The following is a 27,922-nucleotide window of genomic DNA, read 5'->3' on the forward strand; positions in this document are numbered from 1 at the left end:
AGCCTTAGACAATAGGCAACTAATGAGGATGGCTGTGCTCCCATATGGACGCTGAGATGTGAGTATTATATAGTTTTTTATATGCCCTGGAGTATCATTCCTCTTTATTTTTTTAGCCATTTAAAAATGTAAAAACCATTCTTAGCTCACGGGCTGTAGAAGAACAGGCGGTGGGCTGGATTTGATTAGCGGGCCATAGTTTGCTGACCCTTGTAATAGATGATAACTCATTTAATTTATTTTGACTATTTTCCTCACTTCCTTTTTTAGATAAATTTTTTAGGCCTACAGAAGTTTGAATTTCTTACAACATCAAATTTTAAATTTCTGACCATTTTTGTCATGATTCTGAAAGTTAGAATGTTCTTACTAACGATCATATCCAAAAATACACGACTTAATTTTAGCTTCGGAGACAATGTTTTTTAAAGAATTCGCTTTTATTCATGTGGAATCTAGTTGTGTATAGTGTGATTTGGAGGTCTAAATTTAATTTTTTTGCAAGCAGCAAACCAATTGTGGGTTGCTTTTGAATCCTCCTGGTTAGTACTGGGTTCACTAACTGTGCTTTGGGTACCTTTGATTCTAGATTTACAGCATGATAATTTTCCCACTTTTCATTTATGTTCAAGAAGTATGGTACCAAACTGTGACATGAGTTCCTCTTAGTTCTTCTTGGCTCATCTGTTTCCATATGAGCTGGCATTCACAGGAAATTCAGAACTCTTACAGGCATAATATTAATAGATACATGTGGAAAGAGTTGTTCTCTGAAAAAAAAATTTTGACTTTTTTTTTTTTTAATGAAGAATGACAACTTGATCTCCCACACTAGGAAAGAAAAGTGCAATTAATAGTTTATATTACATAACATTAACTGTTGGGTTTTTTTTTTTTTTGGCCTTTGGAAGATACACTCAAATTTGTGATAAGTAAAATGACTTATTTATCACAGGTTACCATATAAGATTGGACAAGAACGATCTTTTATTTCTAGTCTTTTAGGTTGTTGGAGTGACCTAAAATGTAATTTGAGGATAAGCAAAACCCTGATCTGCTGAAAATTACAAAACCAAATTTGCAGGCATGGCTTTCTTGCTCCTGAGACTGAAAAATTTGTCTGCTTCCAATTCAGTTGACTATAAAGAATAGATAGCATGCTTTTATTTTCTGACAGCACTAAGAGTTATTCCTGCTGAACCAGGAATGCTGTTAGAGTGTCAAGGATGGATTTGCCTTAACTTATTTTTCCACAAAGCTGTAATTTAAAAAAAATCTGTTAACATTTCTTTGTAATTCTTTGGTTCACAGTAGACAGTCCCACTGCAGAAGTCCTGCTCCGGTCAGCCCGTATTTCCAGAGTGTTCTTTCAGAACTGGAAATGTCTGTATATTCAGCTGGGTTGCCATGGTGCTGTGGGACATGAGGTGGCAAACCCTACACAAGAGTTAAAGAGATGAGTAGTGCTTAGGATACAGATTACAGAAAGTACAGCTTGCCATCAAGTTCTAGGCAAGAGATAGAACTAAATGTCTTAATCCTAAGAGGAAAAACTTCATTCCAAGGGACATTGGGTTTAGATGAGATTCATTGTTAGATTATGCCCCAGATGGCCTGTTAGCTTTCTTAGGAAACTTGTTCCCATTTTGTGTCTCCACAATGGTTCTCAGCTACTATCTGGACCAGTCCCTTAAAATTAAAAGTTAAATTAGATGTGATGTGATTTGAAATTTGAAACCTATGTTTTTATTTAACTAGACTACAATGGTACACTTAGAATTTTTGTTCAACTTCCCCACCCAATATGAATTTGGAGAAAAACAAGAATGACTAAAAAATCAGCAGGCTCACATGAAATTGAGAGGACGGTTTGGAAATCTCCTTGAATTTCTTTTTGTAAGCCAAATTTATTTTTATAAGCCTTTAACGGAAGACAGTTTGTTCTTTGGATAATTGGCCCAGGCTTTATCCTCCTCTTTCAAATATGCTTCAACCAAATACCCAACTGTGAGATGAATAGGATAAATGAAGGTGGGAGTCGTAGAGTGGTGGGGGTGGGTGGGCCAGGGGGCGGGGCGGCGGCAGGCAAAACAGTCATGTGGAATCTTTTGTTTCATTTTTAAAATAATTCTTAAGAGCTGCTGTCTTTCGACAGAGTCAGAAAGTCCTTGCTTAAGTGTATTTGTCACTATAGAGAGTGAATGGGATTCTGAAGTCTTTAACGTGGTTCTGTAAATGTAAGTCTTGTTGTTTAATCACGGCATTTCTGCAAAAATGAACTCCTGTACCCACATCCCTCCCCCTCTCCTTTATTTTAGTGTCTTAGAACTCAGCTAAGCATTTGAACAGTCATTGCTAAGTGTTTCCACACTGGGGGAGCTAGAAGAACTTGGCTGGATAGAATTCTGATTTTCATGGGAGGGAATTAGTTTTCCGTTTTCTGCCTTAGAAGTCATATACTATACTTGCTATTTGGGCTGAACTGACTTGAAAAGTCAAACAGGAATGAGTCTAGCTACTAAATTTAGAGAACTGATTCGTAATTTCTTGATCTAATACAGTGGGCAGTCTTGTCATTGACCAGTTATTTATTTCAGTGTTTGCCAAACCTAGAATGAAATCCAAGGCTGCTGCTTAACCCTCTATAGCTCTGGTAGTTCATTTCTACTTCTCCTGCTCATTTCCGAAGATAACATGTATCCAGAGAGCCTGTGAGGTCCTGGCTTAGATGAGTCCTGCATATCAGGGCAAACTTCCATGCCTCTGGACATCTTTCACATTTCAGACATTGTCTTATTTCTTTTTCTTATCCAGTTAACAAGTATGTTTTTATTTAAGTCAGGCTTTAACTCTCCCCTCTCTCCCCTCTCCCCTCCTCAAGGGAAATTTAAATTAAGTGGGAAATTACTTTTTGTATAGATGTTCTTTTGTCTTAAATTCATGCTCATGTGACTTTCCACTTGCCATTTAGAGTAACAGTTATTCAAAGAGCATTACCTAAATTCCATCATTAAGAAAAAAACTTATGCCCCTGCTCTGCTCCTTCACCCCTCATCATTATTTTTAAAGCTCTCTAAATGCCTGTCTTGCTTAAAGAATCATAAGACTATGGAAGTGGAATGCACTTGGCATGTTGTTCACTATTCCATGAATTTGTAGACTAAATATGTTATTTCTGTGGCTCATCCAGAAGATGTTGTCATCCTTTAAAATTGCAATTAGCATTATTGTAAAATTCGTTGATGGAAAAAGATCTATTAAGGTTACGTGTATTTTGGATTTAATGTTGCTTTACCTAAGGATGTTAGGGTTCACCAAATCCTGCTTTGCTTGGGATATGCAGGGAGGAAAATTGAGAAGAAATCTTTTTTTTTCCCATTAATAAATGAAAGAACTTCAATGTGAAGAATTTAAAAAAGTCCCAAGCACAGATGGTTCACCTGGGTAATTTGCAAGGAAACTGGATGAGCATAATGTAGGTGGGGAAGACTTAGGGAAATTATTCGGATAGTTCAGTTCCTTTCCTTTTATCTGTCTGAGCCAGTTAGGGGGAAAAAAAAAAATGAGGTTTTTGGATGTCAGAATTACCTGCTGGAATTTTTCATGCACTTTTCAGAATAAAAAACGTCAAAAGAGAGAAGTTAAATTTTCCAGTATGTTTTAAGAAAATAAACAAAATGAGACATGCTGGGGAAAGTGATAGGACACTTTCAGGTTGTGAACCTCAGGGAGTTTCCTGGCTAAGACAGGTGGCTTGGAGTTTTCCCTCTTTCTCCTTCTCTCCTCCCTTCTACTTTACTTTTCTCCCTCTCTTCCTCCTTTTTTTTTCTTTTATTTGCACACCCAGAAGCATGGACCTTTCCTTCTTTTGGTCCTTCTATCCATCAGGGTCAGGTCTTTCAAGATAAGTGGACACAATACCACTGAATCTGTAAACTTCTGATTTGTATGTCATTCTTCTCTGTGAGCCAGCGTTGTCACTGGTTTAAAAAAAATAAAAGCTTTGGCTGGGTGCAGTGGCTCACACCTGTAATCCCAGCACCTTGGGAGACCAAGGCAGGCGGATCACCTGAGGTCAGGAGTTCAAGACCAGCCTGGCCAACATGGCAAAACCTCATCTCTACTAAAAAATACAAAAACTATCTGGGTGTGGTGGCAGGTGCCTGTAATCCCAGCCTTGGGAGGCTGAGGCGGGAGAATTGCTTGAACCTGGGAGGTGGAGGTTTTGCAGTGAGCCGAGATTGAGCCGCTGCACTCCAGCCTGGGCAACAGAGTGAGACTCCATCTCGAAAAAAAATAAATAAAATAAAAGCCTCAGCATGTTGTCCTCTGGCCTGCGAACTTGCTGAAGTATTATTCCTTGTTGTATCCCCCAGGCTATGTTGCTGTCTAGCCTGTGAATAAGGCAAATTCCATATTATGGAGGTAGTGGGCTGTGTGAAAAGAGCACAGATTTTTTATATGATGAGTTACACGACTTAAGGCTAAGTACCTAATTTGTAAGTCCTCATCTGTAAAATAAGAATAATATCTAGTTCAAAGAGATGCGAGAATTATAAATTCTCCTATGTAAGATGCTTTATATATTGCTTGGTATACTTGGTAGGTCCTCAAGAAATGTTTGTTTCTTTTCTGCTAGGTCTCTAGTAATTGGAATTTTGGATGACTGAACATTCAAACTGATGATTTTTGGATGATTAACATTCAACTGATTTTTTGAGCAATTAATATGTAAGGCTTTTCTAAGTCCTGAGGGAGGTAAAACATGAATGATAGGTAGCATTTGCATGCACAGGCACTGTTTTAAGCCATGTGTACATTTTATCTGGCTTTATCTTCTATACACAGTTATGAGATATGCACCATTATCTCCAGTTTATTGATAAAGAAATAGTATAGAGGATTGATTTATCTGAGACCACACAGCTAGTAAGTGGTACAGTTCGCTGAGGCATAAAGAGAGAAACTGATACATGTAATACAAGGCATAACATGGTACTTATTTTTAAAAAGGGTGAACATGACCAGATGATTGAGAAGAGAAGGCAATTGTATTTGGTTTGGGTAGGAAAATTAGGACAGGCTTCAGGGAGAGGATGTCATTTGAGCTGGGCATAGAAGGAATTGAGTGTGTTGTGGAGAGACAAACATGGGAGCCAAAGAGAGAAGAATGTGGTGGCCACGGAGACAGGAACACTTGGGTGCTGCCCCAGAGCAGCAGACAGCTTCACTGGCTTTCTGAAGAATACTGGATGTGTGATAAACAATCCCAGAAGCTGCCCCTGGACCCTGAGCTGGTGCTGGGATCCCAGACCTGAGGTCGGGTTTGAGAGTGAGGCTTCCTCTGCCCAGGGTTGCCACGTGGCAGTGGTGGAGGCTGAACATTGATAGAGAAGTGAAATCAGAAGGTAGGTGACTAATCCAAATAAAAGTTGTGGATCTGAGGGTGGAGGAGTAGAAGGTGGCAGCACAGGATGAGGGAGGATGTTTGAAATGATGGTTGAAAGGGGGAAGCCTAGAGAAGTTTGTGAGCCCCGGATGGTCTCTGCTGTGCCTTTTTAATAGATGCTGGTCCCTCTGGACGTGGGTGAGGAGCAGCTTATTAAGTATTTTCTTCATAGTATTGAAAGGAAGTAGGAGACAAAAGCCTGGGTGGGGAACCTGAGATGGGGTGTTGGACCCATGGAACCTACCTGCCAGTGTCAAGGTAGAGGTGGAAGGATTTGATAGGCTGTTGACCAGTTTTTTTTCTGGGGTTGGCAGTGAAGTAGTGACATAATGGGGATTATGCTTGAGGAAGATTGATCTGCCATTTGTATGGGGATGGATTAGGTTATTTAGACTTTAGGGAGGGAACTTGTATTGGTGCCTTTACACCTTGGGGCAGAATTTGTAAGGCTTTGCAATCGATTCGATTGAGAGGCTGGGAAGTGAGGAAGCAGTTAAAGATGACCTTAATGTCTTTAATAGTGTTTCTATATGTATTAGATATTTGGGTGAGTTCTATGTGGCAGGTGGAGTGCTAGCTACTGGATGAAGAGTGCTGAGCAAAACTGTGTGAGTAGATAGGTGGGGAGGAAGTGGAATGAAAGTGGCTCTTGGGGTTTGAACCTGGGTCCTGGGGAAAGTGGTGTGACATTTACTGAAACAGGACAGGCAGCAGAGGAGTCGGCTTAGAAGCCCTGATGATGCATTTTGTTTTGATGAGTTGAGTTTGAGGTTGATCACAGCAAGTGATCAATCATAAAATTAGACATCTTGGATAGAGATTGGAGATGGCAACAGATAGAAAGTGGGTTGAAAAACAAAGAATGGGCCGGGCGCAGTGGCTCATGCCTGTGGTCCCAGCACTTTGGGAAGCCGAGGCGGGCGGATCACTTGAGGTCGGGGTTTAAGACTAGCCTGGCCAACATGGCGAAACTCCGTCTCTAATAAAAAATACAAAAAGCAGCTGGATGTGGTGGCACATGCCTGCAGTCCCAGCTACTCTGTGGGCTGAGGCAGAAGAATCGCTTGAATCCAGGAGGTGGAGGAGGTTGCAGTGAGCTGAGATCGCGCCACTGCACTCCAGGCCTGGGTGACAGAGCCAGACTCGGTCTCAAAAAAACAAAAAAAATAAAAAAAATAAAGAATGCTCTTTTAGAGATTCAAGGGAAGCAGGCAGAGGGTATGGCCTTATGAGCAAAACTTAAATTTTAGGGGGCAGAAGGAAGATGCTGCAAAGAGTATGGAGGAGGAATCAGTATAACTTGTATATTTCTACCTACCTGTTTTCTTGTGCAGTTTGTTTCCTTTATGGCTTTAGAACAAGGTTTCTTAACCTTAACACTATTTATGCATTTGGGACCAGATAACTGTTATGTCATAGGTGTGTCCTGTGCTTTGTAGGATGCTGAGTGGCACCCCTGGTCCCTGCCCACTATAGGCCACTGAGTAGCACTGCCTCTTCCCAATTATGTCAACCAAAAATGTCTGTAGACTGCTGAATATGCCCTGGGGGGCAGTCACCCATAGTTGAGCCCCACTGCTTTAGGGGTAATGATTTTGTAGTTTTCTTTCTTTTTTCTTCCCACGTGTATCCTGCCCAAACCACAGCCAGGGAGGAATTGGAGGCAGGCGATGCCAGCAAAAGGGTTGAACCTTCATTTGGCTGCAAGGAGTATGTGACTCAGTTCTCAATAAAGTTACATGTAGGAAGATGTTGGGAATTATCCTGTGAAACAGTTTCATGTACTAGGAGAAGTGTGAACTGCTAAGACTATTTCATTGTAGCTCTCAACAGGCCTGGGCCTGTGATATGACTGCATTTATGGACACTGGGGTGGGATGGAGTGGAGGGAATTTTAGCTCTGAAAGTTTGGGGAATTTATCAGTTTCAAAAAGTATTATTTTACAGAAGTCCCTATGTAGTTCTTCAATGCCTTTAGGAGAAGCTATTAATTTAAATGTGTCCTGTCAAAGAAAATAAATGTGTGTCCTAATAAAGGTCCCTAAAAGTTCACGTTGGACATCTCACCCCTCCAAATGAAGTGACACAGGAGGCATACACAGTCCTAGTGGTTTCTGCATACCTGGCACACTGCCTTTTCACCTGGTAGATGCCCATGAGTTAGTTGAGTTGAATTGAAATCCCACCTGTCATTTATGCTTGAAGAATTCTTCCTTTTTGATCTTGAAAGGGGAAGGAGAAGTGCTTGGAGGCAAAAAGCTTTAATCTGTGCAAAATATCAAAGAATAAGTTCATGACCATGTCAGCGGCATTCACAGTTTCATTTGAAATCTTTATTTAGAGATTGGCCTTGGATTTGGGTGTGCTTGTTAGGTCAGTGGAGGGGAGGCTGTTGATTCAGGTTGGGGCTTTTTTCCATTTCTTAGAGTTCTCCAGGTGCTCCTCTCCTGCCTTTGAGCCTAAAGTTCATTTCTGACAGGTGCTTGATGAAGTGGTTATTATAATCAGTTTGGCCTAATACGCTATTCATAAAACTTGAAAATTGACCAAAAAGAGAGAGGCAGAGAAAAAAACTGAACTATTTTTAGGTAGTTTCAGATGTTGTGTTTAATCTTTTTTTTTTTTTTTTTTTTTTTTTGAGACGGAGTCTCTTTCTGTCACCCAGGCTGGAATGCAGTGGCGCGATCTCAGCTCACTGCAACCTCCGCCTCCCGGGCTCACATGCCATTCTCCTGCCTCAGCCTCCTGAGTAGCTGGGACTACAGGCACATGCCACCCAGCTAATTTTTTGTATTTTTAGTAGAGACAGGGTTTCACCATGTTAGCCAGGATGGTCTCGATCTCCTGACCTCATGATCCGCCCGCCTTGGCCTCCCAAAGTGCTGAGATTACAGGCGTGAGCCACTACGCCCGGCCGTGTTTGATCTTTTAAAAGCCCATAAATGCTAAGCGTTGTTCTCATCTGTAAATAGTGGTGAAACATGAAGGTATGAACAGGTGTGCTCTAAGTCAGAGGGCGGAGTGGAGGGGAACCTGCATGAAGTATCTTTCCTTAGCAGGCCAGGCACATTCCCTGCTGTTTTTGGGGAGCGGGCTCCAGGATCCTTTCCCTCTTGGAAAAGAGCAGAAAGTGCCAATTGGATCTCTGGTCACTGAATAAAACTGATCTACCCTCTGAGTGTGGCCCAGCTCTTAACAGGAGCAAATTGAGACCTCAACTGAATTCTGCCTTGAAGATCTTTTGTGATGTTTACTGGTCCACGAAGACAGGAGAGTGAGGGTAGGAAGGTGCAAGGACAGATAGTTGCTGCCAAAATGAATTTGGCCAGGTTCATTCATCTGCTCTCCCTTGCACACAGCTCTCTCATTCCTTCCTCTTTGACTTTTTAAAAAATAAACTTTTTGTTGTAGTATAGTTTCAGATGTATGGGAAAAATGAGGCTATAATACAGAGAATTCCCACATATCCTGTATCTAGTTTCCCCCATTATTATCTTAAGTTAGAATGGTATGTTTATCACACTTAATGAGCCAATACAGTTACCTTATAATTAGCTAAAGTCTGTGCTTTATTCACCTTTCCTCAGTTGATACTTAATGTTCTTTTTCGGTCCGGGGATCCCATCCAGGATGCGGTGTCACATTTAGTTGTCGTGGAGCCCCAGGCTATTTTTGGTTGTGACAGTGTCCCAGACTTTCCTTGTTTTTGATGATCTTGACAGTTTCGAGGAGTACTGGTCAGGTGTTTTGTAGAATACCCCTCAATTGAGATTTGTCTGTTGTTTTTCTGTGGCGATTCAACTGGGGTTGTGGATTTTGAGGGGGAGGATGACAGAGGTAAAGTGCCATTTTCATCACATATCAGTGTGACTTATCACATGCTGATCCTTATCACTTGGCGGAGGTAGCGTTTGCCAAGTTTCTGTACTGTAAACTGAAAAAAAAAAAAAACCCACAAAACTGTAAAAACAACAAGCAAAAACCCAAACAGCTCTGTCATCTTCAGAAGGACGTCACTGTGTACAGCGTACACTTGAGGAGTGGGATGTTGAGAGAGGAGGATCTATCTAACTTATTTGGAATTCTTCTGCCTGGGAGATTTGTCTCTTCTTCCCCATTTATGTATTCAGTCATTTGTATCAGTGTGGACTCATGGATGTTTTTATCCTTTGGGTTAGAATCTAATACTGCTTTATTTTGTTTGAATCGTTTCAGCTTTGACCATTGGGAGCTCCTTACTTGGCTTCTGTGTCCCTTTCTTGGCATACACTCATTTTTTTTTTTTAAGTACTTCCTTTCTGGCACTACAGAATTCCTCTTTGACTTTTTGTGTGCCTTTGTAATGCTTTCTGCCTGGTGTAGGAGTAGTGACAGATCACATACTTGGTGGCCTGAAAGCTAAGGTTTTGGTCTCAGCTCTGCTGCCCAATTCACGTCACCTTTGTGACCCTGTTGTCTCTAAAATGATCTTTAGCTAACAGAATTATAAGAAATAAATGTAGGGCCGGGCACAGTGGCTCACGCCTGTAATCCCAGCACTTTGGGATGCCAAGGTGGGTAGATCATGAGGCCAAGAGATTGAGACCAACCTGGCCAACATGGTGAAACCCCCTCTCTACTAAAAATGCAAAAATTAGTTGGACATGGTGGTGAGCCCCTGTAGTCCCAGCTTCTTGGGAGGCTGAGGCAGGAGAATTGCTTGAACCCAGGAGGCAGAGGTTGCAGTGAGCCGAGATCACGCCACTGCACTGCAGCCTGGTGACAGAGCGAGACTCCGTCTCAATAAATAAATAAATAAATGTAAAAGGACTTCACACATTGGTTATCAATCCATACCCCCCGCCTTTTTTTTGGACATTGAAGCACATCTTCAGACTTCCATCTCTGGGTCTTTCTGCAGCCCCAGAACATGTTTATTGAATGAATTAATGCATCTTCAATGAATGTAACTGTTACTACTGTGTATCATCGGTTTGTTCAGTTAAATACGTATCAATGGACAAGCTTTTCCTTTCCTACATAAACATTTTGTTTTTTGGTTATCTTGTATCTCCTCACATCCCATAGCATTGCAGTGGTTCACAGGCACTTAACAGAGAAAGGGGACACCAAGCTGAATTTAAATAGAAAAAATAATGAAATATATATCATCTTTGGGGATAATGTCATTTTCTGTTTCTTCCTACAACTTGAGCCCTCAGAATTACTCGTAATGGGGTGTTTGTGTCATCTGATTGCCAATGATGGCTGAGTGAGTGAATGCATATTTGGAGTGACCTGGAATTCTGATGTAGGTAAGGGATTCAGAAGGATTATGTTTAGATTAATTTTTCTGCAGAGTTCTCCAGCAGAGTCCTAATCAAAAATTGGTGGTGGTGGCGGTGGCAGTGGCAGCAGCATTAAACACAACAAAGGCAGAACGGATCCTTATTTGCATCATTCAGTCCAGTGGGTGCCGTTAGCTACCATCCTAGAGTGGGTGTGGAATAAATTATATGTATAAAATTTTTTTGAGAAGAGGAGGATGAGCTGGTCACATGTGGCATTTTCTCCCATGTTGAAATAACATGAGATGGAGAACATTGTGTGTTGATGTCTATCTACAAGTTGATTTTTGTCTTAAGATAAGCAGAGCCTCCCTACAACAGGCCCTGAGTACTGCATCACCTTCCTCCAGTTTGAAAAACTGACGGGGGTTCTTACCAGTCTTTGTTAATTCCTGTCTCCGGAAAGAATGGTTGGTAAAGGCACATCCGTATTCTGACATGTTGAGAAAGAAAGGATACATGCTTGGGAACAGAAGTTGAGGCTGTAAATTGTTGGTGGTCTTACTAGTATTGGGAGGCTGTTTTATCCCTGGCATCTAGCTGCTTGTATGGACGCTGGGGTTCTAGAAATAAGTTTTTACTCCTTTGGCTATAATGAGCTGGGCATTATCATTAACTAGAAGGCTGGATTGGAAAGGTTTGGGAAGCAAAGGTCCTTCTGACATTCAACGCATCTTCCTTTCTGGTCTTTTTTGGAGCAGATTTTTCTTCTGTGCTCTCTAGGAAGCTGATGTGGTTCCTGTCCTCCAACTGACCAGTACCTAGAATGTCAACAGAATGACTCATGTCCCCAACATCCTGTCCTTGTTCTGGAGAAAGGGAACTGTTTGCCTTTGGAAAACACAGTGCTTACCTCTGGAAAAACCCCAAAGCAAGCATAGCTTCAACACAGTTTTCCTTAAAGCTCTTGTGATGTCTTGTGATTTTTTTTCCTTGTGACTTTTTGTAATGAAAGTGTTGGTTTTCCTGTGTCTACCTTGCGTGCCAGGTGGTTGAGAATTAGGGAGCTTTAGGTGTTGGAAAGGACCCTAGAGACCAACTGGTCCAACTCCTCTTTATGGTTTTAGAAACAAAGGCCAAGTTGAAGTAAAGTGACTTGAGATCTAGAAACTGGTCAGTGATAATCAGGACTAATTAGTACCTGGGTCTCCTGATTCCTGGTTCTGGGTCTTTGATTTTTATGGTTTGCAGTAGGTTTTTGAACAGTTCACTTGGCTGCCTTATTGGAAGTTCTATCTATGCAGAATGATATTGATATGGGTGGATATTTAAAACTACATATATTATAACATAGTAAAGTCTTTAAGAATACATGATATACATTGAGTTGTTATTCAGAAGCTAGGGGGATGTAGAAGAGTAAGAATTCTTCTGATTTTCAGGACATTCTGTCATAATTTAGCCTTAAGACAGATTTTGGGCAAGGTATATATATCTCTTGTGACTACAAAAGGAGGCTGGATTAGATTAGTTTCATTTGTTGTTTCAGGCTCTGAAATGTTATGATTCCCTATGTCTATAAGTGTATGCTGCACATTTTTTTCCTTCAGTAGTAGAGAATGTCTGCAATGTGGTTAAATCCTTATTCTTTAATTCCAGTATTATAGAATATGGGTTCCATGTAATTTACATTCATGTTGTTTTTCTTGTCAAAGAGGGAACTGAGATAGTTATCTACTGTGTTCAGTAGCATTTTGAGTGGGGAGAGAGAGCTATAGTGTAAGCTTGAACTTGAGCAGACATTAGCACTCTGTTAGGTTACAATTGGTGTTAACAGTAGAGAAAAGAATCAGAGGAAGAGGAGGAAAGAGACTGGTGTGTGGGAGCTAAGGCCCATTATTTTGTTATGGGCTTCTTCCCCTTTTGAGTGACTTAAATGATGTGATTGAAGATATTTGATAGCTCCATCAAGATGGTAGTCTCAATTCCTTCTACAGCCCACACTTTCTCCTCCTAGATTTGAATTGTTATGATGGTAGCATAATTTTTGACAAATGATGTTTGTGTGGAAGTGTACCTTTTATCTGAGTTGAGTCATTGCTTTTGATATTATCACCTCCATTTTACAGATGAGCAAATTTAGTCTGAGAGAATGGTTAAATTTAGAATTTAACCATATGACCTTCCAGGCACCACGTACTGTTCCACTTTAAGTCTAAGACGTTTCATTTACATTTTGTTCTTACTGATTTAGAAAAGTTTATTGTTTTCATTTTCTCACATTACTTCCTGGTGCCTGGCATAGGACTATAACTGAAACATTTTTATAAATGATTTAAAGGTATTGAATGTGATGAACTGGAAAAGAAGAAAAAAGCTTCCTGAGTCACCCAGACTTCATCCTGGCTCTGTCACTTTGTAATCTTGAGAGGAAAGATTAACTTCTCTAAGCATCAGTTTTCCCACCTGAAAAAGTCAGGAAAATATTATTTTCCATACTGGGTTGCTGGGACGATTAGAAACCGAGCATCTGAAAACTCTTTGCACAGTGCTTAAGGTAATTAATGAGTGTTTGTCATTATACTTATGTTGATGTTAAATTAACATCTTAAAGAACTCTAAAATATTTTTCACTTTCTGTTTTTGTTTTTTTTTTCTTTCCCCCTGAAGCTTCAGAATGTCATTTCCTCTAAATGCCTGCCACCCTCAGGGAGTTCTAGTAATAGGGTGAACATAACATCAATGGAATATGAGGAGTTACTATTAGCAGATGCTATTTGTTTCCCTTTTCATTTCTTTTTTTACAGTCGTTTGGGAGAAACCCTTCCAGCCCTGGGCGATGCGGTGTGTCAGTGTCTGCCTTTCTGCCGACTCCTGACAGCGCCTCCCTTCAGGGGTGTGGGTGGAGCTCTTCATGCCTGCCCCTCCTGCTCACATTTCTCGGTTCACTGGAAAAGTCCCCAAATCTTTTTGTCTGCTCAGTTGTGGCCTAGTAGCCAGAGTGGCTCGTGCATTAAACGAAGAGGAACCTATGTTTCTTCTCTTTTCAGCATTTTGGCTGAATTTTGAATTTTTATCTGCCCCATTGAGTCTGTTGGCTCTGGCTGCTGCTGTACCAAGCCCTCTTTCTGGTGTTCATAAACCAATGAGAGTACAATTTCATGGCCTGGGTCAGGCTTGTTTGTTGGTTTCGTCTTAATTAGAAGCAAACCTCTTTGTCTTCCCTTTTCTTCATCTTCCAGGGAGAAATGGATTTTCTAGGCTGAGCAAATTAATCATAGTGGTGTCTAATAAAAAACAATCACCACTGCAGTACCTGGCACACAGTAGGTACTCAGTAGCTGAAAGAAACAGTTCCTGTAGCTCTTCCAAGGTATCCAGCATTTTGTGCAGGTAGGCTGGGGGCTGCTGAAGGATCTGTTTGTGAAAGACGAGAATTAGCTTAAGTAACTTGGGTTGGAAAAGTCACTCTGCCTTCTGAGTGACATATGGGGGCTGGAAGGTGGCAGAGAACAGGGTTGGAGAGTTTCTCTGGTAGGTGGATTAGTGTTGTTCCCAGCTCAGAATAAGGTACATATTTGAAAGTTACTTAACACAGAGCCTTGGATTCTGCCTGTAGGATAATAGATATTGAGTAGTTGTGATAAGTAATCATATGTAGCACTTAGGTCTTTTTATCTTCAAAGAACTTTTTTAAAAAAAACACTTTTAAACACAATGAATTCTACCTTGTATCTTTATCGTAGCCCTAATGTTCTCTTCTGTGTCTTTGTCGTATTATGTTTCTTAGGACAAGTGAGTAAGCTTTGTCAATTGGTTTATAAAACATTTATGCATTTAAAGCTTCCAGGGAGTGAGAATTGAAATTACAGTATCTGGGGCTTCATATTTGCTGGCAAACTGCTGGCTTAGCATTTTCTTCCCTCTTGTCTGTTTTTCCCAAGCTATAGCAGAGATTAAATGAAATTTAGGAATTGTGTGTGAGATTTTGTTTCTCCTTGAAATACAGATGCTCCTAGACTTACGGGTTTTTTTTTGCCCTGATAAACCCATTGTAAGTTGAAAATATTGACAATATTGTAAGTCAAAAATGCATTTAATATAGCTACCCTATGAAACATCCTAGCCTAGACTACCTTAAACATGCTGAGAACACTGACATTAGCCTATAGTTGGCAAAACCATCTAACACAAAGCCTATTATAATAAAGTGTTGAATATCTCATGTAATTTATTGAATACTGTACTGAAATTGAAAAAACAGAATGGTCGTATGGGTACTGGAATTATGGTTTCTACTGAATATATATCGCTTTTGCACCATTGTAAAATTGGAAAATTGTAAGTCAGGGACCATCTGTAGTTCTGTCAGGATGGGTGAAATGCTTGCTGTGCAGTGCATTGATTTCTAAAGTCAATCCTTAGCAGATACTTTAAAACAACAAAGAACTAGAAGTTTCCTGGTTAAGAGGGAAGAAGGGTTTGCAATTGGCTTCATAAATTTCTTCTCAGGCTTTTAAAGTTATGAGTCAAGAACCTTCGAAGCAGTGTTCGTAGGTGCATCCTTTCCTTCCTCACCCCATATTTCATTTATATAACAAGATACTTCAAAGATGCTCCAAAGAAATAAAGACAGTATAATTCCAAATGATTAGCTCAAATCCGACTGCCACATTCAAGGCTTAAAAAAAATTCTCAATTGCTGTGAGGGATTAGAAAAATGGCAGCTGGCAAAAATGCCTTCAGTATAAAGATGATAAGACGCCACTTATTAATTCTTTATATAAGCAATGGTTTTTTTTGGTGAGGATATGGAGAAAGGTAATAAAATCATGGTCTCTGCTGTGGGTAAAACTAGTTTGAGAGCCCCTCCCCTGCTGCTTTTTTCAGAAGTTTAAAAAGGAGGTCAGGAGCAGAGAGTTAGTTTCCCTGACTGGGGGAAGTTAAGGAAAGGAGTGTGAGTGAGGTCATGGAGAAGGCATGGTGAAGTTTCACAGTCTTGTGGATAAGTTTCCCATTTGATATGGGATATAGTTGAGAGTTACATCAAATGGAGTTGCCACCAACATGACTGCTAATGGTGACTCTGGGTACAGAGGACATGGCATAGTAGTAGTTATGCAGTAATCGGACCCTGATTAACGATGAAGCTGATGATGGCATTGATACTTTATGGAGAACTTTGTATGTGTTTTTCCCCCATTTAATCCTTACAGTCACCATTTTCAGATGGTAGCTGGGAGTAGTAGATAATTTTCCCAGGGTCATATTGCTTAGGGGCAAAGCTGGGATTTGTAACCATGATGCAATACTGCACCTGGTGGATGTAGTCAGGGTTATCAAAATAAAGAAAAATTGACCCAAAGATATATTTTAGAGGCAGAAACAATAATAGCTTAGTAATAGTCTAGGTGTGTGAACTCGAGACAAAACGAGTAGGAAAAAGATGGTTTTTAAGTGACAGTTTTGGAAAAGAAGCAACGGGGGTGGCAGGAATGAACAATACAGTTCTGTCTCGGTCATGTTTATGGACTCTTCTTCCTAGAGAACAGCCAATAGTCTTTCATCAGTGTTGATTTCATCTTTCAGCCTTCAGAAAACAGCTGTCAATCCAAGTGCTTGCTGTCGATATGGAGCACAGGTTGTGAACACAGTGCCTTTGTGCCATGCTTTGGTCACATGTACAGGTGTTGACTCTAGCAGCAGACCAGTACCTACTCCCAGTGGAGCTCAAATTCACACATCACACCATCACATTGTCTTCTCATTTAGCCAGTGAAATGATTGGCGTCTCACTGCAGTAGTACAGTGATAGTCATTGATTGACAAGACCTTCTCTGGGAAGGACTACATTTATTCTGATTTCTCCAGATCAGACTTTTAGAACCAGGAGAGGAAGTCTGTTCATGGTCAGAGTTCTTGCTGAGTCAATGTAGTATTTTGAAAGCTATTGTGCCAAGGCCCCAGGATTCTCAGACCTGGCTGAGCAACATGTAACTGATCCAATTTCTCACTGACTCAGGAGGAATGCTAGCTAAATCTTGAATTTGGTACTGTGACTTCAATAGTGGGCCAGTCAAGGGGCTCACGCCTGGTGGACCACCATCCCTTCACCCCCACCCCACCAAGGTCTGTCTGTGCTTGGCTTTTCGGACTCATGGTGAATGCTTGAACCTTTTTATTCCCTTAACATAAACTTATTCTTCTGGGTAAAAAAGTGAATCCTATCCCCATGAAGGATTTGCTTGATTGAAATGAGACCCCCCCTTGGGAGAGAAGTATAAATGTTGTGAGCAGAGTGGCCTTACGGTAGCTTGCTGACTTCCTAGAGGGGTCGTTGTGGGAGGAGAGCCCTGCTAGTTCCCTTTGCCCCAAATTATTTCCCCTCTGTGCTTGCTACAGAATCACTAAGTGTACTGATAGCTCTTAATTACTTCTAGTTAAAGAAGAGCAAGCCACCTGGTCTCTGAATTAATTAGAGCAATACTCTTTAAAAGAAACATCCTCCTTTCCCTCCTTCTTTGCCCCCCAGCAAAATATTTCCTATTAGAAAAAACATATGAAGCCATTGGTTAGTTTTCACTTCCTTTCCTAAGGGATAGTCAGCTAAATATGCTGTCCTGAGAGAATTTGACAGAAGCAGATAAGATTTTTGATAAGAGTTGAAGAGAAATTCTGGGAAGGGAAGGTAAATTATACTCCCTAATAAAAGCCCTAACAAACAGCAGGCATAATTGGTTGTGTATTTGGGGGTGTGTGTGTCAGTGAAGTGGTGTGTATTCTACATACCACCAGTGGGAGGAAGAATGCTGAAAAAAGAGAAGTAGGTGCTTGCTCAAGACAGGAAATATACCACTTCCCTTAGGAATCTGCCCATAGGCCATCTTTGCTTATATTATCCATGCATTTCATTGGCAGTACTCTCCTGGAGTGAGAAGTGGTGTATGAAGTTGGTCCTAAAATCCACTCCTCCCATCTCCTTCCTAAGAGAAAGTTAACCCACTTTGGGCTAACTCAAGAGCCAGCCAGTTATTTTTGCCCATCACTGTAAGTAGGATTACAGCTCACCTTAAATATTGGGGAAAAGTCCTGATCATTTGTTCATTCTATTAGCTAGGGCCAGGTGTTGTCACTGTCTCTAGCACCGCTTCCATTTCACTCCCATTAAATCTTAGCAAATTCCTAGCACTCTGAACAGTGTATTTTACTTGAATGATTCCCATGTGGCCAGACTTCTGGGAGCTGAGCACATGGTACCCTTTTATTGGGTGCCATGAGGTAACCTTGGTACCCTTTGGACATTCAGCTTTCCTTTGAGGTTATAGCTAATTCTCTGATGAACATTTAAGTGGGTGGGGCTGTGTGTTAGCCCTACTGTGTAGCTTTTGTGATCCAGGGAGGTGTGACCCCATTGTGGTATTCCCATAGCTGAGATCATAAAAGCATCCCAAGTGTCATTTGGAAGCCAAACAGTAGGTTACAAACTCATTTTGGGTTAATCTCCCTCTCCCTAAGCTACTTCATCTCCTTGAATGCTGCTAACTGTAAGCTTTTATTTCCTTTCCTGTGTTATCACTCATTAAAGCCTTCTCTGACCTGTATAAATGAGACTGGCTTTTTCCTCTTAGTATTGTCTTCGAGCACTTGGCAGGTGGCATTTGGAGCCAGAGCCTGATGAAAGTTGCCCTTGTGTATTGTTTTTATAAGCTAAATGAGAGGCACAGAAAGAATACCAAAAGATAGACTTTTTCCCTAGGGTAGGAGGAAAAAGGAGGATCAAAAATTTGCAGTTTATGTATGAATTTTGGTGGAATGCCGTTTAGAGGGAATATTTTCTGATTCTGTCTCTTCTCCCTTCAGTCTTATATTTCCTCTTACTTTCTTCTGTATATTTTATATATATATATATATATATATATATATATATATATATATATATATATATATATAAATTAGAAAAAAATTGAAACAGGGCCAGGTACGGTGACTCATGCTTATAATCCCAGCACTTGGGAAGGCAGAGGTGGGCAGATTGCTTTAGCCCAGGCATTGAAGACCAGCCTGGGCAACATAGCAAGACCCCATCTCTTAAAAAAAATACAAAAATTAGCCAGGTGTGGTTGTGTGCACCTGTACTCCCAGCTACTTGGGAGGCTGAGGTGGGAGGATCACTTGAACTCAGGAGGTGAGGCTGCAGTGAGCCATGATTGTGCTGCTGCACTCCAACCTGGGTGACACAGTGAGACCCTGTCTCAAAAAAAAAGCTAAACTGAAATGGAAATTATTTCCATATCTTTTCTTAACCAAGTAGTCAAGTATTTCTGTTGCCATTAGTTTGGACCATATGAACTTGCTGCTGTTATAGGTCAGAAATGGTTGAATAGCAGCAATCTCATGGCTCAACCTGTTGAACCATTAACCCCAGGAGGGTTAATCAGCTAGCCCCTTTCTAACCCAGCAGATAGAAAACTATGACAAAACTATTTGACTCTACTTTCCTTCCTTCTTATCTTCCTCATCTTAAAAAGTTAACAGATATAAAACATAAAAGATATCATTGGCAAGTCAAGGTGACAGTTTTTGGGGGTGGGCAGGTGGCAACAGACACTAGGACACTAGGACAATGAAACCCAGATTTTAAAACAAGGATACAATAGAGCCAGCTTCTGTAGAAATTAGTGTATTTATTCACCAGTCATTGTGTTTAGTTGTCTGAGCTACATTGTATTGTCCTTGAGGAGTAAGAATTGTGCTATTTTTCATTGCATTCCTGACATGCTTAAAAAAAAAATGCTGCTACAATCTACTGTATGTAGTTGATTGATGCCGGGAAAGTTTGCTGCACCTAACAATGGTCTTTATCCATGAAACACTCCATTGATACTTTTAGAACTCATTACTGCTAACCAAACAGTAGTGGTTTTATTACTATACTAATGGAGCCTGGTACTTGGAGGCTGGGGCATGGGGGAGGAGGAGAAGGTGGGGCAAGGAATGTGGGTAGGACTAGTGGATCCCTTTCCATGATTAATGGTGTCCCCCAGAAAAGTAGTTAGGCAGTTTCCAATAAAACAATGTGATAATCTAGATACAATGCAGGGTCTAATGTGCATATGCAAGGATGCACTAAATGAATTAGCCCTAACAGGGAGGAACAAGGGCTTTCTAAATAAAGAATCAGCAAGACAGCAGAGTTTTCTATGGCCTTCTCCAATAAAGTGATTTGCTTTCCTAACACTGCATGGAGGCAAACAAATGAGTTGTGAAAGATACGGATACCGATGGACACAGCACCATGATAGGCTTGGCAGACTCCTCCTTGTGGGCAACAAGACAGACCCATGTGGTGACTTTTATCCTCTTGCATGCTTTTTGTGATGTACTTGAGTTGTTCTTCTTCCTCACTGTCTTTGTCCATTTAAAAAGGATTTTTGTTTTTAGGTTATTTTATTTGGAGTAATGCATCTGTTTGCCATAAATGTGATTATTGATGTACACGAGCTTATGTTTGCTGTCTTACAGTTTGTTTTCTATTTGATCTACCTGTTTTATGTTTTTTTTTCCTCCTTTTTGACTTTGGATTAGGCACAGATTTTCAGTCCATTTTTCCTATTTCTGAACCTGCTAACTACACAGTATTTTACTCTTCTTGTGGTTATCCTACAGATTATAGGATACGTCTTTGATTTACTACAGTCTAATACAGACTCTTTCACCTCTTTGTTTTTTGTATATTGCTTTCCTTTGGAAAAGCTCATGATTCTTAATGAATCTCACTGGGGGTGGAGTGATGTTACCCTTATTTCCTACTTGAATCTCTCTCATAGTAGCTCTTACTTGCTGAACCTGTTTGTAACTTTCATTAAAGTTATTGCCCAGTATCACTTCTCCGTGGACATGTGTTAGTCAGAAGGGGACATCCTCACCGCTGAGCTGTGAGCTCCCTAGAATAAAGATGGAAGCTTTCTGGTTTCCCATTGAGGCTGAAAGCTCTTTCATAGCAAGGACTATCCTGTCTCTTTCTAGTATGACATCTGGCCCACAGTAGCCCCTCAAGTGGAGATTTGAATGACCAGGTCCACCTAAACCAGATGGCCCTGGCATCTGGAGAGTTCGAGGCCATTTTAGCTGGAGAGTTCGAGCTGGAGAGTTCGAGGCCATTTTAGGTAAGCTCAAGTCTTTACAACTCTGCACCTTCTACCAGTCCTTCCTAGCTGTTTCTTTTGGATGAAGATGATTCTTCTTTTCCTAACTCTGAGGTTGCCCTCTTTCATGTGCATTCACATTAACTGTCAGCCATACCTGTGTACCTCAACACTCACTGGTTGCTGCCTGTAATACTCTTACAAAAGATTTAATGAAGTGATGGAGACCTTGGGTGTCTAGCAACTGCCATTGTTTGTCAGGGGAATGTGAGATATATGTGTGGGAAGGTCCCTGAGTTCCTCTTGGACTTATCAAAATATCACAAAATTCCAGTACAAAGTATCTTTCCACAGATTCAGCTGTGCTGTGGGTCACTAATACTTGGGTCATTTTAAGCTGTGGTGCAGAAACCTACAGCAGAGGTGTGAATCTTCTTCCCTTTGGCAACTTTATGTCAGTTCTGATACATTAAAAAAAAAAAACAAAAAAACCCCAGGGATTGATCATGTTAATGTGAACACCCACCTCTCAGTGATGGAGGAGTTTTTGAATCATGCAGGTTCTTGGCTCGGAGACAGCATGGTCTATACAGAAGCAGCTTGGATTTGTCAAGACCTCAGTTCACCACGCAGCTCTGCTGCATTTTGAGTACCTGTGGGTAAATGACCTCACCTCTTCAGCCTTATCTGTACAATAGGGATGATAACACTCAGCTTACTTCACAGGCTTGTTGTAGGGAGAAGGTGATCTATTGTTTCCTAAAGCTGTTTTTGAAAACGGTGACTCACTCTACAGATATGATTTGTGTCTTCTGTTTTCTCCTGCCTGATGTTTTCCATTTTGGCAACTTAGAATCTAGGCATACCTCAGGTAGAGCTTGCTGACACACTGGTCTATTTTTGAGGTGGGTAATACTAATATTGAGTTCAAGAGAATTTTTTCCCCCCTCTGAACTATGCTATAGTTGGTATCTACTCCTAGGATATTAAGTTTGTTCCAAATAAGCCAGTTGTGGGCTCCATGCTATGCCATAGAAGTCAGAGGAGAGATAGTGCCGCCTTTAAACATTGTAAACTTTCAGAGAAAAGTTTTCCCAAGATAAATTAGCAAGTAGTTTCTTCACCAAAGGGACATGGTTGATGTGAATTGATTCTCTGAAGAAATATTTACCATAGCTGCTTCTGCCAAAGTGAATGTGGTCACCAGGGCAACAATGGCAGCCGTCTTTATCCAGATAAGTGCAAGAGCTGAATTCAGATGCCCCTTCCTAGGGCTGCCAGCTCATGTGAAGTTTGGCATGCAGGAAATGGATGTTCAGTGTTGGCCTCACTGAGTTTTGGAAAAACCCCACTTATTGGAGCATCTGCCAAGCATGGATGGAGGAGGGCTTTTCAGGATTGCAAAACTACTTCTAGAGAGACTGGTGAGTAGAGGGATAGTGTTATGGACATACGGCTCATTTTCCAGAGGTACTATTGAAACTTTCTTCGGTAACCATAAGGGAAGAGGCAGAAGTCTTCTCATCTTACCAGGATGCCTATGAGAGCTGGAGGTTGCTGGTGAAAGAGGATACAAAGATACCTCCAGAGACAGGGCAGGGAGTGTGGTGTACTTACCACATTTCTGGAATTGACTTGGGAAGTGGTGTTCACTTCTTTTATCAAAGCAAAACTAGTAACTAATAGTAACTACTGACTCATTTATTTTTTGTCTTCAGCTTTTATGAAGAATGAACTGACTTTCTAATTTCTATAAGAAACTGCACCAGAGTTTATCCCCCACTGGAGAGGGCTGCTTAGATGGTTGGCAAAGCTTCCATAACATCTCAGTTTCTCTAACATTTGAAGTAAAAGACCAAAGCTAGAATCAAATATGTTACTTCTTTCCATTGCCCAGCTGCAGCTTTTACAAATGCATCACAGTTGAAAGTGCCTGAATCTAGAGTTGTCCATGCTGACTTCTAGCCAGGCCAGGCCAGTGGCACTTCTGTGATTTGGAGGAGACTTTCAATGAAATTAGATTGTAGCTGCTATATTTAACTTTTAATTATACACTATTGGGATGTTTTAATTTCTAAAGTGTCACAGCCAAGGCATGAAAATGTGGATCAAGTAGGCAAATGGAATTAAAAATACAACAACATAACAAACTCTAACATCCACCAATTGTGTCTCAGGTAATTAATTAGAGCAGCCTGTAGTTACTAACCTGTGTGGATGTTTCACTGCTCGGGAAGAATAGTCCCAGTGTTTTCTAGATTAGTGGACTGTTCCAAGGAGGGCTGAAATAAGTTTCAACTTGAATTTGTAGATCTGGATAGTCAAACCTTAACAATACAGGCATAGGTTGTCCTCTGTGGGTATCTGTAGTGAATTACAATTCTGTATTAACTTCTACACGATTACTTATCCTAGTCTCATTAGGGAACACGAAATTACCTGAACAAACCATAAGGTAGCATAGACGTTCAAATCTGACATGTGCAAAGTTCCTTAAGCTAATTAGAAAATACACACATTGATCTGTGAATGGATGCCCTTCTGCTCCTTTAGGGCCAGTGATTGAGAGGTGTCTGTTGGAGGTTGGTGTTGAACTTGTGCTTGAAGTCTCCGGATACAAAACTTCACGGTTCTGGTTTAAGCAGAAGTCTTCATTGAATGACATCGATGTGGAGAGAAAATTCCTTGGCTTTCTGTCAGCTGAATCTGCTGATTTGTAAGACTCTTGGGGCAGGTTAACAGCCTTGTTGGTTGTTGTGCTGTGCTGACAGTGGGACCAAGCGGGGATCAGGAAATAGTCTAGGGCATTGCAAGGTTGGATTTGCTTACATTGAGGTGTTCCTGTGATCTGTGCACATCACCCAAGGTGATCAGGGCCTTGAGGCTTAGGCTGAAAGGCTGGCTTTCGAGGCAAAAGATCAGAAGGAAGAAAACATGCTGGCACCTGATGTATATCCCCTTTTGCTCTGCTTCCATCTACGGTTGCTGCCTGCTCCTCTGACATGTAACTCACCTCCTCTGTGCCTCATATTGTTAGAGCTAAATTTCCCACTGAACCCAGACTGTTATTTTTGACCTGCCCTGCCTATTTATTTGTGCACCAGTGAGTGTGTGAGTAAATGCATTATTTTTATTATTATTATTTTTTCTTTTGAGACAGAGTCTTGCTCTGTTTGCCCAGGCTGGAGTGCAGTGTCATGATCTCGGCTCACTGATCTCGCTGATTGAACCTCTGCCTTCTGGGTTTAAGCAATTCTCATGCCTCAGCCTCCCGAGTAGGTGGGACTACAGGTGCTTGCCACCATGCCTGGCTAATTTTTTGTATTTTAGTAGAGATGGGGTTTCACCATGTTGCCCAGGGTGGTCTCGAACTCCTGAGCTCAGATAATCTGCCTGCCTTAGACTCCCAAACTGCTAGGATTACAGGCATAAGCCACTGCACCCAGCAAATGCATTAATTTTTAAAAATTATAGCAGCTCTTTTGGAAGAATTGAAACATAGAAAAATTACCCCTTAGTCCATTGCATTTACATGGTGATTTTCTTTTTCATTTCATTTTTTGGCCACGTTTTTAATTTTTATTTTTTGCTGTGGTAAAACGTTAAGATAAAATTTACCATCCTTGCCATTTTTAAGCATACGGTTCAGTGGCATTAAGTACATTTGTATTGTTGGTGGTGCAATGATCTTCACCGTCTGTGTCCAGAACTTTTCATGTTCCCAAACTGAAACTCTCTACCCATTAAACAGTAACTCTTCATTCCCCCCACCCCTTCCCCTGGTAACCACTGTTCTCCTTCTCAGTCCCCATGAATATGCCTATTCAATGTAACTCATAAGTGGAATCAGGGAAGTTGTGTCCTTTTGTGTCTGGTTGATTTCACTTAGTATAATGTTGGTAAGGTTCATTCTTGTTGTAGCATTTGTCAGAATTTCATTCTTTTTTAAGGCTGAACAGTAATACTCCATTGCATGGATAGAAACCTCATTTTGTTTATCTATGCATCTATTGATGGACATATGAGTTGTTTCTACCTTTAGGTTATTCTACATAATGCTACTATGAACATTGGTTACAAGTATCTGTTTAAGTTTCTGCTTTCAGTACTTTTGAGTATGTAACTGGAAGTGGAGTTGCTGAATCATATGGTAATTCTATGTTTAGCTTTGTGAGGAAGCATCATACTGTTTCCACGGTGTCTGCTGCACCCTAGCAATGCACGAGGGTTCCGAGCCCTCCATATCCTTATATGCTTGCAAAGGATATGTGTCTTTTCCTTTTTTTTTTTTTTTAATAATAGTCATTCTGATGGGTATGAAACAGCATCTCATTGTGGTTTTGATTTGTACTTATGCATAGGTTTTTTAAAACTATGTTTAAACAGAGTGTACTTATTTTTCATCCTTGATCAGTTAATATTTTGTCATGTTCTCTTTTTGCCTTTCAAAGGACTTTTTTTGTTTTTTATTATATATGGACAAATTATAGTTGCAAATACTTAAGGGGGTACAAAGTGATGTAATGATGTTTGAACTCAATGTGGAATGATTAAATCAAGCTACCTAACCTATTCACCTCAAATATTTAACTTTTTTATAACATTTGAGATTTTCTCCTAGTGATATCGAAATGTACAGTATGCTATTATTGTATTTACCATGCTGTGGAATAGCCCTCAAAAAAGGAAGAAATTCTGTCATTTGCGACAACATGAGTGGAATTAGAAAACATGCTAAGTGAAGTAAGCGAAACACAGAAAGACACCACATGTTCTTACATATGTGGGATCAAAACAATCGAATTCATAGAGGCAGAAAGTAGATGAGTGGTTACCAGGGGCTGGGGGAAATGGTAACGTGATGGTCAAAGGGTACCAAGCCTCAGGAGGAGTAAATTAATTTATTTTTGAGATCTAAAATGACTAATTTTAATAGCTTTTTTCTGGGATCCATCCTGAAGTTACCAGTTTTCTGAAGAAAAGCATTTGAACCAAGAATCCAAATGTGGGCTTCACTACAGAAAGGAGAAACACAGGGCAAAACTGTGTCTAGGCGCCCCTGAGACCACCCCAGGAGGACTGTTGGGCTCCCTGTGACCTGTTTTGGAACTCTGGGGGAGCTTTATCAGGGAATACACTTGCTGGAAGCTGCAGAATATGGGAGAGACTCCGATTGTAACAGGCAAGTTTCTGGTGAGACAAAAATGGATTAAACCAAGACTAATGCCAGGCATCAGAGACAGCAAAATCATCCAATTTATCATCCTTCCCTCAAGGCTGAGAGGTTTTTAAGTAGTTTGGAAAAACTTGGAAAGGGATAGGGAAAGCTTGAGAATAATTTAAAAACTTGTCCCCTGCAGGCCAGTTTGCTAAAAGCCGAGTTTTACCAAAAGGCTAAAGCAGTAATTAAAGCAAAAAGCCTTTGAAAAGGAATCTTGAACTACCCCATTAACAGAGATTACAGGGTATGGTTAGTAAACACCAGAGTATTTAAAAGAGAGTAGTGACACAGAAATGAATGCCTTGTGAAAAGACGAATTTGGTCACCACAAATTATAGAAACTTTCAGAATATACAGAGAATGCCTGTAAGCCAAATGGAACTGTTGGTAGAACTGAGTTAAAAAGTGTTTTCTGTAGAGTTTCATTTGTAAACGTGATTTTTAAGAGTACAAGCTGAATATTACTTAAAATGCCAGTAGGAAAAAAAGTCACACCCCTTTCCTAGTAACTGCTTTTTGAACCTGAAGTTTTTGGAAAGAAGCATCGGTTTCTGAGTATGATCTGAAAGTACTGGCTTTAATAAGGTCTTTCTCCGAGAATTGTTGCTTATCTTACAAGGCAGAAGTGACAAGGATGGTACTCAGCACTGGGGCATTGGGTATCAATGGTGAGCTCATCTCTGTTTCAGGAAGGAGCTGACCAGCGACATCTCATTCCAAAAATTGCCAGATAGATGCAGCACTGAGCTGCCTCCCAGGTCATCCCAACTGATTAATGTGGAGATCTGCAGACTAAAGCAAAGAGAAAAGTGATTTGAATGGACCTGAGGGACTTTATCCTCCACTATGAGGTTGCAGGGGGTGCCTTCTGTGACGGTACCTTTGTAAGTTATTACAAACCTACTGGTGGAAAAACCTTGACTGAGTTCCACTCTGAATCCCAGTTGTAGAAGCATCATGAAATTGAGCACAGGAAAGACTAGGAGTAGGAAGAACTGGGTTTCGGACTCAGATTTGCCTGTTATTCGCCTGAGATGTCTGGCGTTGGTTGCTTGCCTTTCTGCAAGGATTGTAGGGTACCGTCCAACGCATCTTGTATGTGGGGACATTTTGGAAACACATAATACTGTGTAAGCATTGTTATTAGTAGGTAAAATGGTAAAACTGAAATGAAACAACGCCCTGCCCAGCCCCGCCACCCTAACAACTCATTTCCCCTTTAGGCATTTTCTTGTCAGTGGGTACAACACTTCTGTCAGTATCTTTGGCTCTGAGGAAGTCAGTGGAATGAATGACTTCAAGTCTTTGAAAAATAAATTCATGGCTTACTGTGGGCAGTAATTTGTTTTATCCCAAAGCCGGTAATGTGAGGTATTTGAACCAACCACAAATTAATTATCCTACTATATTTGCAGCAGTGTTAGGGTTACAGGTACAACCTAAGCACCATTGCCATATCATTCTGTTTCTGGACAATTAATAACATGCAACCGTGTTGGGACAACAAATCAGTGCTAACCTCTCTGGGGAAACTCAAGTGCAATTGTGAGATGTAAATCTCCATCCACAGGCTCTGCAAAGGGGGAAATATAGGAGTGGCTACTTACTATGTGAAATGCACAGACATGACTAAGAGTAGAGAGTTGTATATTCTGCCTCCCAAAATCCTCCTCATGTGGCTTTCTCCAAAGCCTTCTCAGAGGACACTGAATTCACCTAGGAACTTCGAGAAATGTGAGATGATTCAATTCTGTTGGCAGCAGTGCCTTTCCTGTTACTGATTACTGGCTACCCGGGAGCTCATTTCCTTTGTACTGAGTCATGTGCACTCAGAGAGATA

At 40.7% G+C, this 27,922-nt stretch overlaps 1 protein-coding gene across 13 annotated transcripts in view, besides 3 other annotated features; it reads left to right on the plus strand.

The window, feature by feature from the left end:
- Positions 1-27,922, plus strand: part of FMNL2 (formin like 2) — a 314,653-nt gene that overhangs the window by 58,663 nt on the left and 228,068 nt on the right. The gene's annotated exons all lie outside the window — the stretch shown is intronic.
- Positions 7,713-8,214: an enhancer, noted in NCBI's record as "H3K4me1 hESC enhancer chr2:153258063-153258564 (GRCh37/hg19 assembly coordinates)". NCBI's record gives its function as "activates a minimal SCP1, AML or CMV promoter by ChIP-STARR-seq in primed H9 embryonic stem cells {active_cell/tissue: H9 hESC(primed)}" and the evidence as "EXISTENCE:reporter gene assay evidence [ECO:0000049][PMID:30033119]".
- Positions 8,215-8,714: an enhancer, noted in NCBI's record as "H3K4me1 hESC enhancer chr2:153258565-153259064 (GRCh37/hg19 assembly coordinates)". NCBI's record gives its function as "activates a minimal SCP1, AML or CMV promoter by ChIP-STARR-seq in naive H9 embryonic stem cells {active_cell/tissue: H9 hESC(naive)}" and the evidence as "EXISTENCE:reporter gene assay evidence [ECO:0000049][PMID:30033119]".
- Positions 11,439-11,733: an enhancer, noted in NCBI's record as "tiled region #2662; HepG2 Activating DNase matched - State 5:Enh, and K562 Activating non-DNase unmatched - State 22:ReprW". NCBI's record gives its function as "activates a minimal TATA promoter and a strong SV40 promoter by Sharpr-MPRA in HepG2 and K562 cells {active_cell/tissue: HepG2 | K562}" and the evidence as "EXISTENCE:reporter gene assay evidence [ECO:0000049][PMID:27701403]".

The sequence above is a fragment of the Homo sapiens genome, chromosome 2 (genome assembly GCF_000001405.40).
Source record: "Homo sapiens chromosome 2, GRCh38.p14 Primary Assembly".
Lineage (NCBI taxonomy): Eukaryota > Metazoa > Chordata > Mammalia > Primates > Hominidae > Homo > Homo sapiens.